This window comes from Homo sapiens, chromosome 2 (assembly GCF_000001405.40).
Source record: "Homo sapiens chromosome 2, GRCh38.p14 Primary Assembly".
NCBI classification, from domain to species: domain Eukaryota; kingdom Metazoa; phylum Chordata; class Mammalia; order Primates; family Hominidae; genus Homo; species Homo sapiens.
The window spans coordinates 219,524,172-219,537,063 of NC_000002.12; the positions used below are offsets into that span (position 1 = coordinate 219,524,172).

Consider the following 12,892-nt stretch of genomic DNA (forward strand, 5'->3'; position numbering starts at 1 on the left):
CTTGAGGGCAGAGGCTGTCTGTTTTGTTCTCTGTTGCATGTCCAGCACCAAGCACACAGTGCCTGACACTGTTGAGCACAGGCTCAATGAATAGTGTTGGACAAAGTAAGTGTTGTTTGAACATTCACCAGTTCTTGAGCGCCTACTATTTGTAGGTACTGTGTGCCAAGTGTATGTCACACAGTGGCTATGGGTGGACTCCAGGGCCAGACTGCCTGGTCCCCTGTCAGCTTCCTTATCCTCTCTGTACCTCCGTTACCCTGTCTGTAAAATGAAAACGATAGGACTACTGCCATATAGGAGTTTTGTGAGGGTTAAGGGGTTAATCTATATAAAGTGCTTAGAACTGTGCCTGGCACAGAGGTAAGCACTAAGTAAATATTAGTGGTTGCTATGATTTACGTACATTCTGTCTTTCCTCATAACACCTTTGAAGGGCGCCTGTTGTTACTGCCATTTTACAGATGAAAAATGGAGGATCAGAGAGGTTAATTGATTGAATCTGAATCCCACAGACTTAACTAAGGGCAAGGCCCAGATGTAAACTAGGTTGGGCTTTCCATCTGGTAGGAGAGCCATATCTCAGAGCCTGGGGGTTTCGCTGTGACAGAGCTCCATCCTCTAAGCCGCTCCCAAATTGCAGAGAGAGCCTGCAAGGTGCTTGATGCCCTGTGAGGTTGCGCCCAGTGGGGATCCAAGATCAAAATGGCTGCACTGTCCTGGCAGGAAGCTCCATTCCCCAAAGGGCCTCACCCCTCCCTTGAGCACCTGCCAGGAATCACTGAATTGATCTCTAATCCTCTCATGTAACTTTAGGAGGAGGAATTACCATTCCCCTTTTACAGATGAGCAAACCGAGGCTCAGAGAGGTTTAATCACACATCTGAGGTTGTTTGTCCAAAGTTGGTGGGAGAGGCTGGATTTGAACCCTGTTCTGTCAGCCTACAAAATATATGCCCCTTTCCCCATGTTATGAGCCTCCTGTGTATCCATTTCCAGCACCACATAGTGATCAATCTCTGCCCTAGCTTGGTTCATGCTGGTCTCTACAAAACCTTTATTACTGGTGCACGTATATGACTGCACTTTGCAAATGCCTTTCACATACTTCCTCTCTTTTGAGATGTACAACTAATCTGTGAAATAAGCAGGGATTTCTGTCTCTACTTGACACATGAAGAAACTGAGGCCCAGAGAAGTTGATAAATCACTTTACTAACCTAAGTCACACAGGCTATCTGTGATGGAGCTGGAGCTGAAACCAGGGCCTGCTGACTCCCAGGGAGGTGATGTTGGCCCGTGAACCTGGGGTCCACTTCTGAATCTGCACCTGTTTTCTGCATGCCCTTGGATCTGAACCTTGCCGTCTCTAGGCTTGTTTCTGCCTTTGTACAATGAGTGATTGGACTGAGTGACCTCGAAGTTCTGAGCAGCGCAGACACCTCAGGCATTTTGGTTGGTGCCATCTTCCTTCCTCTGCACCTGGAAAGGATAGGGAAGGAAGAGGCTTTGAACCTGGATACTGGGCCACCCCTGAATAAAGCTAGGCCCTGGGAGCTGTTCCACCCCAGGGTGCTGGTCACAGTCCAGGGCAGATGAAGATGCACCCCATTCCACTGGCCCTCTCTGGACCTAGGGGCAGAAGAATTCATTCCAGGGGTACCTAAGAGAGAGGCATGGGGGTGGACCCCATCAAGGGGAGAGCTGATAGAATTTGGGGGAAGGGATACCATGGAAGAATGTCAGGGGAAGTGCCGGGACCAGAGGCAGGGTGCCCAGAAGGCAGTGGAGATAAAGCCCAGGCCGAAGATTAGCTCTGGGATTAGCCTGGCCTCAGCATCTCCTGGCTGCTTCTTATCTCCTGGAGGCCCAGGGCCCTCCCCCTGCCACAGCTCTGAGCCCTGGCCCCGCTAATTGCCTGTTAACCCTGTGGGCTCTGCGAGGGAGGGAGGATGCAAGCAAGCCAGCCAGGGAGAGAGCTTTCTGGAGAAACGGAAGCTGTGAATAGATAGAGTTCCGAGGGCTGAGAGAAGCCACTGCTCTCAGGAGGAGCAAGCTCTGGACAACTCTCTCCCAACCCCTCATCACTGTCTCAGGCAGACCCTGAGAGAGAGGGGCCAGGGAGAAGGAGGTGGAGGGCACCTGGAGAGGGGTTCCTGGCATGTTGGGTCAGGGTGGGGAGCCTCAGGCCCAGGGAAAAGTCTAGGAGGAAGACAAGAGGCTGAGACTCGACAGCCAGACTAAGGGATGGATAGAGAAGAAAGCAAATAGGATAGAGAGTGCAGTGGGCAAGGGACAAAAAGGTCAGGGGGCATCCAGGACAATGGGAGAGAAAGAGGCCAAGGGGATGGACAGGTCAACAGAGGGCAGGGGCAGAGAAACAGAGTCCAAGTGGATAACTGATCAGGGGCAGGGACAGACGGGTCAGGCGGATAGAGAAGGACTCGAGAGACAGACTGAGATCAGGAAACAGAGGCTAGCGAGGCAGACAGACCCAGGCTGGGGTTCAGGCCAACACTAAAGGGGAGGTGATCAGAGAAGGACAGGCAGGTGCTGGCCAGAAGGAAGGTGGGGGAGGGGACCTGAGTGTCAGTGTACAGCACAGACATAGTCCTGTCTAGGAGCTGTCAGCCAAGGCCGGGAGGGGCTTTGGGAGGACACATGCCCCAGCTAGGGCCAGGAGCGTGGACCTGGAGCTAAGGCAGAGAGAGAGGGAGGGCCAGACCAAAGGAGGACATGGGGGTCTGAGATGGGGACACGGCCCAGAGGCTGAGAGCTGGTGATCTGGAGATAGCCCCTCTGCCATCAGGACACTCCCTGGCCCACGACCTTCCCCTTTCCGTGACCGGACCCTGGACTCTCAACTCCTTTGCATACTGCCCCCTCTTCCTGGGCCAGTCCATGGGGAGGGAGCAGTGGACAACCTGTGGGACCTTGTGGCAGAGCTGCCGTGCCGTCTCCATGGAAGAAGCTGTGGGCTGTGCTGCCACCAGAGTTCTGCCACTTAGGAGCTGATGGCTCCACCCACCCCTGCCTGCCTGGCCCAGGGACTGTCTCCTGGGCAACGCTGTGCTCTGACCAGCAGTCAGGACTGACCCGGGCTGTGCAGGTGGCCTCCTCCTGCCAGTCTGGCCAGTCCGTTCCCTGCAGAGTATCCCTGAGACCCAGACAACTTCCACCCATCTCCCTTTGTCACCCCGACTCTGCACAGCCACCTTGAGGGTTTGTGTGCCAAGGAACCACCACCCTCGCCAGCTGGGCATTCGTTCTGCCCTGTGTAGGGTGGGCTCGGTTCCATGTAGCATGTGTCTGTGTGTGTCTGTTGGAGGTACCAGGTAGGGACGCTGCCCCAGCCCCTCCGAGAGTCAGGAGCCTCCAAGAGCCATTCATTCACTGAACACCCACCAGGTGTTCTATAAGCACCTACTGTGCTTTGACCTGGGGTTCAGTTCTGTTTGAATCTCGGCTGTCATTTATTTGCTGTGTGCCCTTAGCCAAGTCACTTTCCTTCTCTGAGCTTCAGGTACCTAATCATTAAATGGGGGCAAAAATACTTAGCTCATATGGGTTTCTTGGAGACTCAAAGGAGAAAATAGATCAAAAGCACCTATCACAGGACTTGGTACAAAGTCGGGATGTTTGATAGTGTTTGCTTTCCTTCCTCCCACCTCATACCTCCTTCTGCAAATCTCGCTGGGCTCTGGGGATGCCAAGAGGGAAACAGGACTCCTGGTCACATGGAGTTCATGGTCCCATGGGTGAGGCTGAGCTTCAGAGACACCACAACGGTGCCTGGCAGTCAGGGCTCCGCCGAGGTGGTGCTGAATGCTGAGGGACATGAGTGAGGAGCTCATAACGTGGGTACCCCACGTCGCCCATGCCTTCTTTAGCCTTTCAACTGGAGCATATACGCAAAACTGGCTGTGTCAGCAAGAGCTGATTCTAGCATCTTCTTGGTTTGAAATAGGAAGAGGTTGAGTACTTTCAGATTTCTACAAATACTAATATATGCCTCCCATCAGCATTTCCCACACCACCAGGACCCAGGAATTTTGTTTTTCTGTTTTTTTGAGACAGAGTCCTGCTCTGTCACCCAGGCTGGAGTGCAGTGGCGTGATCTCAGCTCACTGCAACCTCTGCCTCCTGGGTTCAAGCGATTCTCCTATCTCAGCCCCCTGAGTAGCTGGAACTACAGGAGCCCGCCACCACACCCAGCTTATTTTTGTATTTTTAGTAGAGACGGGAGTTTCACCATATTGGCCAGGCTGGTCTCAAACTCCTGACCTTGTGATCTGCCCTCCTCAGCCTCCCAAGTGTTAGTGTTGGGATTACATGCGTGAGTCCTGGGGTCTGGACTTTTTGTTGTTGTTGTTGTTGTTGTTTTTTGAGATGGAGTCTCACTCTGTTGCCCAGGCTGGAGTGCGGTGGTGTGATCTCAGCTCACTGCAACCTCCACCTCCTGAGTTGAAGCGATTCTCCTACCTCAGCCTCCTGAGTAGCTGGGATTACAGGTGCCCACCATGACACCCAGCTAATTTTTGTATTTTTAGTAGAGATGTGGTTTCACCATGTTGGTCAGGCTGGTCTTGAACTCCTGACCTCAAGTGTTCTGCCCTCCTTGGTCTCCCAAAGTGCTGGGATTACAGGTGTGAGCCACTGCACCTGGATGGGATAGAGGAATCTTGCACCAGGCCCATTTCAGAGTTCCTCCACCTCCAGTGACTTGCGATAAGAGCACAGGTCTAGAGTCGGGCTGTCTTGCTGGGTTCTCCTCCTTTACCTAGTGCCTTTCTACTCACAGTGTGGCCCATGGACTCTCAGCCTTGTCCAGCTCCCTCCCCACATCTGTTCTACCAGACTCTGCACTTTAAAAAGATCCCCCTGATTTGTGTGCACAATAGTGTTTAAGCCCTGGGCTTGAAAATCTTGGGAAACCAGTTGAATTCTCTGAGCCTCCATTTCTTTCTCTGTAGAATGGGGAGATAATAGTACCCACCTCACAGGGTAGTTGTGAGGATTCATCCAGATAGAACATGTGAAGCGTTTAGCACAGTGCATGGGGCATACTGAGTGCTCCTGAGCTGTCCATGACACCCACTCCTGCCCCACAGATGGATACATAGCAGGGAGGAGGGCAGGGGTGATACCTGTGGGGTCAAGGACTTGAATCTGGGAGCTGGTAAAGGTGTGTGGGGGATGTTGAGGGAAGGAGAGGACTTGGGGGACAGGAAAGGAATTGAAGAGAAGCCGATATGGAGAAGAAAGGGTGAGGAAGGTACAGAGGAACGATGCAGGAGGGAACGAGGAATGGGAGAAGAGAAAGGGACGGGACTGGGGCCCATTCCTGTCTCATCTACCTGGATGGGGCTGGGGCAGGAGCTGGATCCCGAGGTAGGCTAGGCTTGGAGTGGGGGGTGCCAGCAATGGTTTGCAGGAGCAGCTGGAGCCTCGCCCCTCGATGAGGTGCACCTCTCCTTCTTCCCAGCTGTGTGACTTTGGACGTCACTTCACTTCTCTGAGCTGTGATGTCCTCATCTGAAGTAGTTGGGATAACTACACCTAGCTGGTACTGAGGGGATGTGTGCAACGGTAGACGGCACTGTGTTCTGTAAACTCAGGGTGCTTTGTTTGTGGTGCACACGTTTTTGTTTCGGGAACGGGAGGCAGGGTGGTTGGGTGGTAGAAGAACTGTGGGAGAGGGGAGGATCAGGGCTGCGACTCCCAGAGCACTGCAGCAGGGTGGTCTACTTCTCAGGCATGGGGACTTCACCCTGCCCCCTAGGAGGTCTCAGGAGGACTCTCAGTTGGTTCGCTGCCCTCCACCCAGCCTCTCTCCCTTCTGCACTCCCCCTGTGTAGCCAGGCATTCAGGATCTCTTTTTCCTTCCACACCGCTTCCTGCCATTTCTTCCAGCTTTTACCAGTGGGAAATGTTCCCAAGGAGAGGGGAGGGGGAGCGGGAGAGAGTGATTGAGTGCGCCGACCCCTTGCCCTCAGGGAAGGTGCTGCCTGTGATGGGTTTGACCCAGGGGCTCGGCTCTGTTAGGGAAGCCTGGCAGGGGGGAACTAGAACCCGCCTCTCCCTCAGCCTGTTCTCCACCCCTGCCGCTGCGCAGCTCCTGGTGGCAGCTAAATCCCCAGCGGGAGCCTGGGCTTCCATCTCCGGGGCGCCAGCGCCATCTGCTGTCCATGCAGGAGAACTCTCCGCAGAGGAAAAGGGAGCCGGGCTTCTGTGCGGCAGAGACTGCTCATTCAAGTGTCCCTTGTGCCCTGCACTGGGCCAGAGGCTGGGGACACCAGACAGGCTCCTGCTCCTGTGCGGCATACATGCTCATTGAGGGAGATGGACAATGGACAGGAGACAAGTAGATGAACAAGATCATCTCAGGTCTTGATAAGTACCTTGAGCAAACCAACAGACATGTGGATGCATGGACGGTGACACTGAATGTGGCCGTGTGATGTAGGAGTGTGACATGCTGAGGCTTCAGTGATGGGCAGCTAGCCATACCATGAGTGTGTGTGCGGGGGCATTCCAGGAGAGGGGACAACAACAACAAAAGCCCGAGGAGAAAAGGAGTCCAGGTGTCTGAACTTGTCACAGACATGTGGGGGAGGTGGTGGGAGAGGCAGGCAAGGGCCACATCACATGGGCACTTTTGGGTTAGGGAAGGAGCATGACTTCATTATGTGGGAAATGGGAAGCTATTGTTGGGTAAGTCAGTTAGTGGTTTCATTGGATCTGAGCACTGTGGACTGGGCACCATGGCTTCCGGTAGGGAGGGGCAAGGGTGGACCAAGGTGGGAGAGCAGTTAGGAGGAGATGGCAAAATGAGGGTTGCTGGAGAAGGAAGGAAAGTGGATGGATTCTAAATGTATTTCAGAAGTGGGCTGGAGGCTGGATGTGGTGGCTCATGCTTGTAATCCCAGCACTTTGGGAAGCCAAAGCAGAAGGATTGCTTGGGCCCAAGAGTTCAAGACCAGCCTGGGCAACATAGAAAGACCCTGTCTCTACAAAAATAAAATAAAAAGTAAAAAAAAAAAAATTAGCTGGGCTTGGTGGCATATGCTTGTAATCCCAGCTGCTTGTCAGGCTGAAGCAGGAGGATGGCTTGAGTCTGGAAGGTTGAGGCTGCTGTGAGCCGAGATCGTGCCACTGCACACCAGCCTGGGCAACAGAGCAAGACCATATCTCAAAAAAAAAAGAAGAGAAAGAAGTGTCCCAGGACTAGCTGTTGGCTTGGATGCAGGAGTGATGGAAGGGGAGATTTCAGAAATTCCGACTTGAGAAACTGGGTGGATATAGTGGGGTGGTTTACTAGGGTGGAGGAAAACGGTGGGGGGAAGGCAGGGTTTGGGAAGGTGTTGATGTGCTGTTGGGTTGGAGATGCTTTCTAATCATCTAAGGGAGGCCATCAGTAGAAAAGTTGGCGCTGATTGGAGAGGCTGGGCTGTACATTGCTTGCTAGGATACGGGACTGGAGTGTCCAAGCAGATCTGGTGGCCCTCAGCAGGGAGCAGGGAACTTCGGAGTTGCCTTGGCCACTCCTTTCATCTCCCCTCCTGCTCTCTCACCCCACCTCCCAGGTCTATACTCGCTATGGGAAGTGTTACACCTTCAACGCGGACCCGCGGAGCTCGCTGCCCAGCCGGGCAGGGGGCATGGGCAGTGGCCTGGAGATCATGCTGGACATCCAGCAGGAGGAGTACCTGCCCATCTGGAGGGAGACAAGTACGCAGGCCGGAAAGGGACAAGGGCCACCTTGGGGACTGGGGCCTGGGCCCTCTGCCTGGGATGGGTTTCCAAAGGTCCCCATCTCTGCTGTGCAGATGAGACGTCGTTTGAGGCAGGTATTCGGGTGCAGATCCACAGCCAGGAGGAGCCGCCCTACATCCACCAGCTGGGGTTCGGGGTGTCCCCAGGCTTCCAGACCTTTGTGTCCTGCCAGGAACAGCGGGTGAGCATCTCCTGCTAGGCCCTGGATTGGGCACAGGGCTCGCCTTTGGGCTCAGAGGGGATGTGGAGCAAACCTGCCCTCTAGAAGCTCAGAGCCTGCCAGCTGTGTTGACTTTGCTGGGGCTGTGGGCACTGGAGGACTGGGTGGGATTCCTGAGCATGACCTCATCATGCCCCACCTCTGCAGCTGACCTACCTGCCCCAGCCCTGGGGCAACTGCCGCGCAGAGAGTGAGCTCAGGGAGCCTGAGCTTCAGGGCTACTCGGCCTACAGTGTGTCTGCCTGCCGGCTGCGCTGTGAAAAGGAGGCCGTGCTTCAGCGCTGCCACTGCCGGATGGTGCACATGCCAGGTGGGCACCCCACCCCCAGCCAGCCCTCCATGCCACCCTGCTAGGCTCCAGAGCCTCCCGGGGCAAGGCACTGCTCATGTGCACAGGCAGGTGCATGTATACAACATGTGTATGTGTCTGTACCCGTGTGAGTGTGAGTGTTTGGGATTTTTAAACATGGTTTCACATATGCATGTGGGAATGCCGGCATGCAGATGCCTGTGTGCATGTTAATATGTATTTGTGTACGTGCATGCTCATTTATATCCGTGGTTGCGTATTTGTGGGGGTTGTGTGTGTGGTGTTCAAGCACATTTATGCAAATGTGTGCATATGTGTGTGCATGCATGTATGTGCTTACATTTGGGCGTGTGGGGGACAGGGGAAGTGATCGTAGATTCCAGGAATAATCTTCTCTCCTTTCAGGCAATGAGACCATCTGCCCACCAAATATCTACATCGAGTGTGCAGACCACACACTGGGTCCGTGCTGCCTACCCTTTCCTACCTCTCCATCAGCCTCTTCATGTCTCTGTCCACTCTTCTCCTCACTGTCTTGGATCCTCCCCTCCCAATCTCTTCCTGGAGGGTTCTTCCTGGGGGTTGAGCCTTAGCCCATACTTCAGTGGGGTTGGGGAGAGGTCTGCGGACCTCTGCAGGTACAGACACTTGGGTAAGTGGAGGCAGCAGGGTGGGGGGTTGCAGAGAAGCCAGGACTGGGAGTGAAGGTCTGGGCTTCTCATCTTGGTTCAGCCAATGAGCTCACCCACTTTGAGAAAGTGAAATGACTTCTCTCTTGGTCTCAGGAAAAATGCATTGCTGGCTATCGGTGTGGGTAAGGCAAACCCCATCTGTCCACAGATCTTGCCTGATCTGCAGTTCATCCATCTATCCATCCATTCATCGATTCGCGCATTCTCCAGACCTTTACAGCCTGTGCTGGGTACTGGAGGTGAGAGTGGGGGCGACAGCCCTGCCCTTGGAGAGCTTACACCCCGGCAGGGCTGTGGACAGCCATTCCCACACAGCCCGTCAACTCCTGGAGAGGGGAGCCTCGGGTGTGCTGCAAGGCCCCAAGGAGGGGTGTGCAGCCCTAGCCTGGGAAGGTAGGGAGGATTCCTAGAGGAAGGGACACATTAGCTGAGGCTTGATGGGTGTATAAGAGTCAGGTGCAAAGGGGGACATACACTGAAGACCTGTGGCCAGAAAGAGCATGCTGTGTCCGGGGCACTGAAAGGTCTGTGTGGCTGCAGGGCAGAGAACAGGGGAGGGAGTAGAAAGAGTAGAGGAGGGAGGCCAGGCACGGTGGCTCACAAGTGTAGACCCAGCACTTTGGGAGGCCAGGGTCTGTGGATCACTTGAGCCCAGTAGTTCAAGACCAGCCTGGGCAACATGGTGAGACCCTGTCTCTGCAAAAAATAAAAAAGTGAACTGGGTGTGGTGGTGCACATCTATAGTCCCACCTATTCGGGAGGCTGAGGCAAGAGGATAGGCTTGAGCCTGGGAGGTTGAGGCTGCGGTGAGCTGGGATCACACCATTGCACTCTAGTCTGAGCTACAGAGTTACCCTGTCTCAAAAAAAAAAAAAAAAAAAAAAAAAAAGAGGAGGGAGGCTCTAGGAAGCCAACAAAGGCCTGTGGCAAGGCAGGAATGCCAGGTGAGTCCAATGAGATAGGAGGGGAGGAGACTCAAAGCCAGGGACTGGCGAAGCTGGCTGCAGTAATCCAGACACCTGGGGCCTTGGGGCTGGGTTTGAGACACTGGGCAGCCACACACATCCAGCCCTTCTCTGTCCCCCACACCACCTGCATCTGTCACAGGGGTGATTGGAGATGTTTAGTGAAGGAACAGATATGTGATCAGGAGTAAGGTGCCTGCAAGGCACAGCGGTAGACCACAGAGCTAGCAACATGGGGAGCCTTCATTCCCACCAGGCCTGCAGGAGGAGAGAGAGACCTGTGGCTGTCCGAGAGGGCTGACTGACAGCAGCATGGCTGGAGGAGCACAGCCTCTGCCACCTACGGCCTGGCAGTGAGAAAGCCAGGCGGGAGAAATACCCTGGCATCTCTTCCCTCTCACCTTCTGTTTCTGCTGGGGCCTCCTGTTGGCCAAACTGAACCCAAAGCCAGAGGACAAGGGAGTTTAGTTGATGCATTTGGGGGAGATCAGCCTCATAGGGTGCAGAGCAAGGTTGAAGAGTGGAGAGTGGATCTGAAGGGGCAGGCAGAGAAAGCCCAGCACATTGATCCTGGGAAGCTTGTCGGTCTATTTGTTCTTCTGTTCGCCCATCCGTCGATCTGGCCATCTGCCATCCATCCATCCATCCATCCATCCATCCATCCATCCATCCATCCATGCATGCATCCCAGCATCCTCTCCACACCTCCTTGTGTGTCTGAGGCCTCACATAGTTGATTAGCTCTGGTGGATGGGCTGTGTTCTCCCTCTGGGCCACGAGGACCCCCCCCCAGTCCCAGGGGGTTGGGAGGGTGCTGGGGGGTTCTGCTTATATCTGCTCTCTGGAGCAGTCTGAAGCTGGTTCAGGCGGGGACCTGCAGCCAGTCCCCTCTAGGAAGCACTGGGGCTGGCCAGTAAAGGCCCTCAGTGTGGGTGTGCCTGCCTCAGGACGGCCCCTGGGCCTCCTCTCTGCAGCTGGTGGGCCACTGGACCACCCTTCTCCAACTCCCACTGTAGCTGCTACCTCTGTGTTGCAGACTCCCTGGGTGGGGGCCCTGAGGGCCCGTGCTTCTGCCCCACCCCCTGCAACCTGACACGCTATGGGAAAGAGATCTCCATGGTCAGGATCCCCAACAGGGGCTCAGCCCGGTACCTGGCGAGGAAGTACAACCGCAACGAGACCTACATACGGTATGTGTGTGTGTGTGTGGGGGGTGGCTGTGTGACTCTGTGTGTACGTGTGTGTGGGGGGTGGCTGTGTGACTCTGTGTGTACGTGTGTGTGAGTGTATGTGTGTATGTGTTTGTGTGTATGTGGGTGTGGGTGTGTATGTGTGTGGGGTGTATGTGGGTGTGTACATGCATGTGTGTGTGTGTCTGTGTGGGGGGCATGTATGTGTGTCTTGTGGGTGTGTGAGTGTGTGATGTGTGTGTGCATGCACACTTATGAGTGTATGTATCTGTGAATGGGTATGTGTGTGAGAGAATGTGTCTATGTCTGTGTGGGTCTGTGTGCGTGTGTGTGTGTGGTGGAGGCTGCCCTCAACAGGCGCTGGGCATGGTGGAGGCAGGGAGTGGGCCGCATCTCTATGATGAGTCTTCTACCGGGAATGCCCTTCATAGCTCTATTCTTCTCCTTCTTTTTTTTTTTTTTTTTTGAGACAGAGTCTTGCTCTGTCGCCCAGGCTGGAGTGCAGTGGCACAATCTTGGCTCACTGCAACCTCGACCTCCCAGGTTCAAGCGATTCTTCTCCCTCAGCCTCCCAAATAGCTGGGATTATAGGCACCCACAGCCATACCCAGCTAATTTTTGTCTTTTTAGTAGAGATGGGGTTTCACCATGTTGGCCAGGCTGGTCTTAAACTCCTGACCTCAAGTGATCTGCCGTCCTTGGTCTCCCAAAGTGCTGGGATTACAGGTGTGAGCCACCTTGCCTGGCCACAGCCCTTCTCTTCTAAGTAGCCCCACTCATTGCTCAAGTCACGTTCAGTGTCTCCACCTCCAGGGAAGTGCTTCCAGGTCCAAACACCTTTCATCTGAGTTCCCAGCACCCGTACAGATCTCTGTCATTACACATATGCCACATTTCAGAGTGCTTTGCTTATGCATCTTTCTTCCCTGCACGGAGGGAGAGGGACAGGATGAGACAGGAGAGGAACACAGTACCCTGCAGGGGGAGGCAGGAGGGACCGCCCTGAGGCTTGGGTCTGGTCCCCTCCAGCCAGTCTACACTTGTGGAGCGTGGTCTGGGTGCCAGGCTCAGTGCTGGGTTCTGTGGGGACAGATGATTATGACACAAAACTCATGCCACAATTTGTCAATGAGCCCACGTTTGATCATGTAGGACTGATTCTCAGGCCCCAGTCGGGGAGTGAAGCTGGGGAGGCGTGAGCCGGCCTCTGAGGGCCCTGGGTTTGGGGTCTGAGAGAGGAGGCAATGGGGAGGCGTCCAGTGACAGGACGTGGGGCGGTGGGGTGGTGTGGCGGGGAGCCTGAGCCATAGGCAGCTGTGTGGAGGAAGCAGAAAAGACGGCGGCTGGGGAGGAAGGTGCCGGGGACAGGCCACCGGCTGCCCAGGACACCGAGAAGGGGCATTGTGGAGTGGACTGACGGGCAACAGGGGTCACTGAAGGGTCCGCAGAGGCGTAAGGAGGAGGCAAAGGCAACACCACTGGCTGCTTTAGAGGAGGGAGGAGTGTTTCCTTCAGGTCCAGGAGTTGTGTTTTGCTCTCCCAGGCCCTTTGCTACCCCTCAAAAGATGAAGCTAACACACATCCGGGACTGCCTCCCCTCACAGCCTTGGGGAGTCCGGGGGGTAGTCACTGACTTCCCCATGTAGTGATCTCTGATCAGGATCTGCTGGATCCAGGATGCCCCTGCCAGCCTTCTCAGGAAGAGAGGCCCACACGGATACCCTGCTTCCTGTCTCCAC

The 12,892-nt window shown here is 54.8% G+C and overlaps 1 protein-coding gene across 6 annotated transcripts in view, besides 1 other annotated feature; it reads left to right on the forward strand.

Annotated features, from left to right (window-relative positions):
- ASIC4 (acid sensing ion channel subunit family member 4) overlaps window positions 1-12,892 on the forward strand; it is a 31,680-nt gene that overhangs the window by 17,079 nt on the left and 1,709 nt on the right. For 2 of the 6 annotated variants that reach the window (NM_018674.6, XM_017004439.2), the window contains exons 2-6: window positions 7,587-7,731; window positions 7,830-7,957; window positions 8,144-8,306; window positions 8,712-8,768; window positions 11,000-11,153. In NM_018674.6, coding sequence (NP_061144.4) covers window positions 7,587-7,731; window positions 7,830-7,957; window positions 8,144-8,306; window positions 8,712-8,768; window positions 11,000-11,153 — 647 coding nt within the window. Of the gene's footprint in view, window positions 1-7,586; window positions 7,732-7,829; window positions 11,154-12,892 lie in introns of those variants that run through there. The other 4 variants (XM_047444916.1, XM_047444915.1, NM_182847.3 and 1 more) reach the window with 4 other exon arrangements.
- Window positions 8,072-8,669: an enhancer, noted in NCBI's record as "H3K4me1 hESC enhancer chr2:220396965-220397562 (GRCh37/hg19 assembly coordinates)". NCBI's record gives its function as "activates a minimal SCP1, AML or CMV promoter by ChIP-STARR-seq in primed H9 embryonic stem cells {active_cell/tissue: H9 hESC(primed)}" and the evidence as "EXISTENCE:reporter gene assay evidence [ECO:0000049][PMID:30033119]".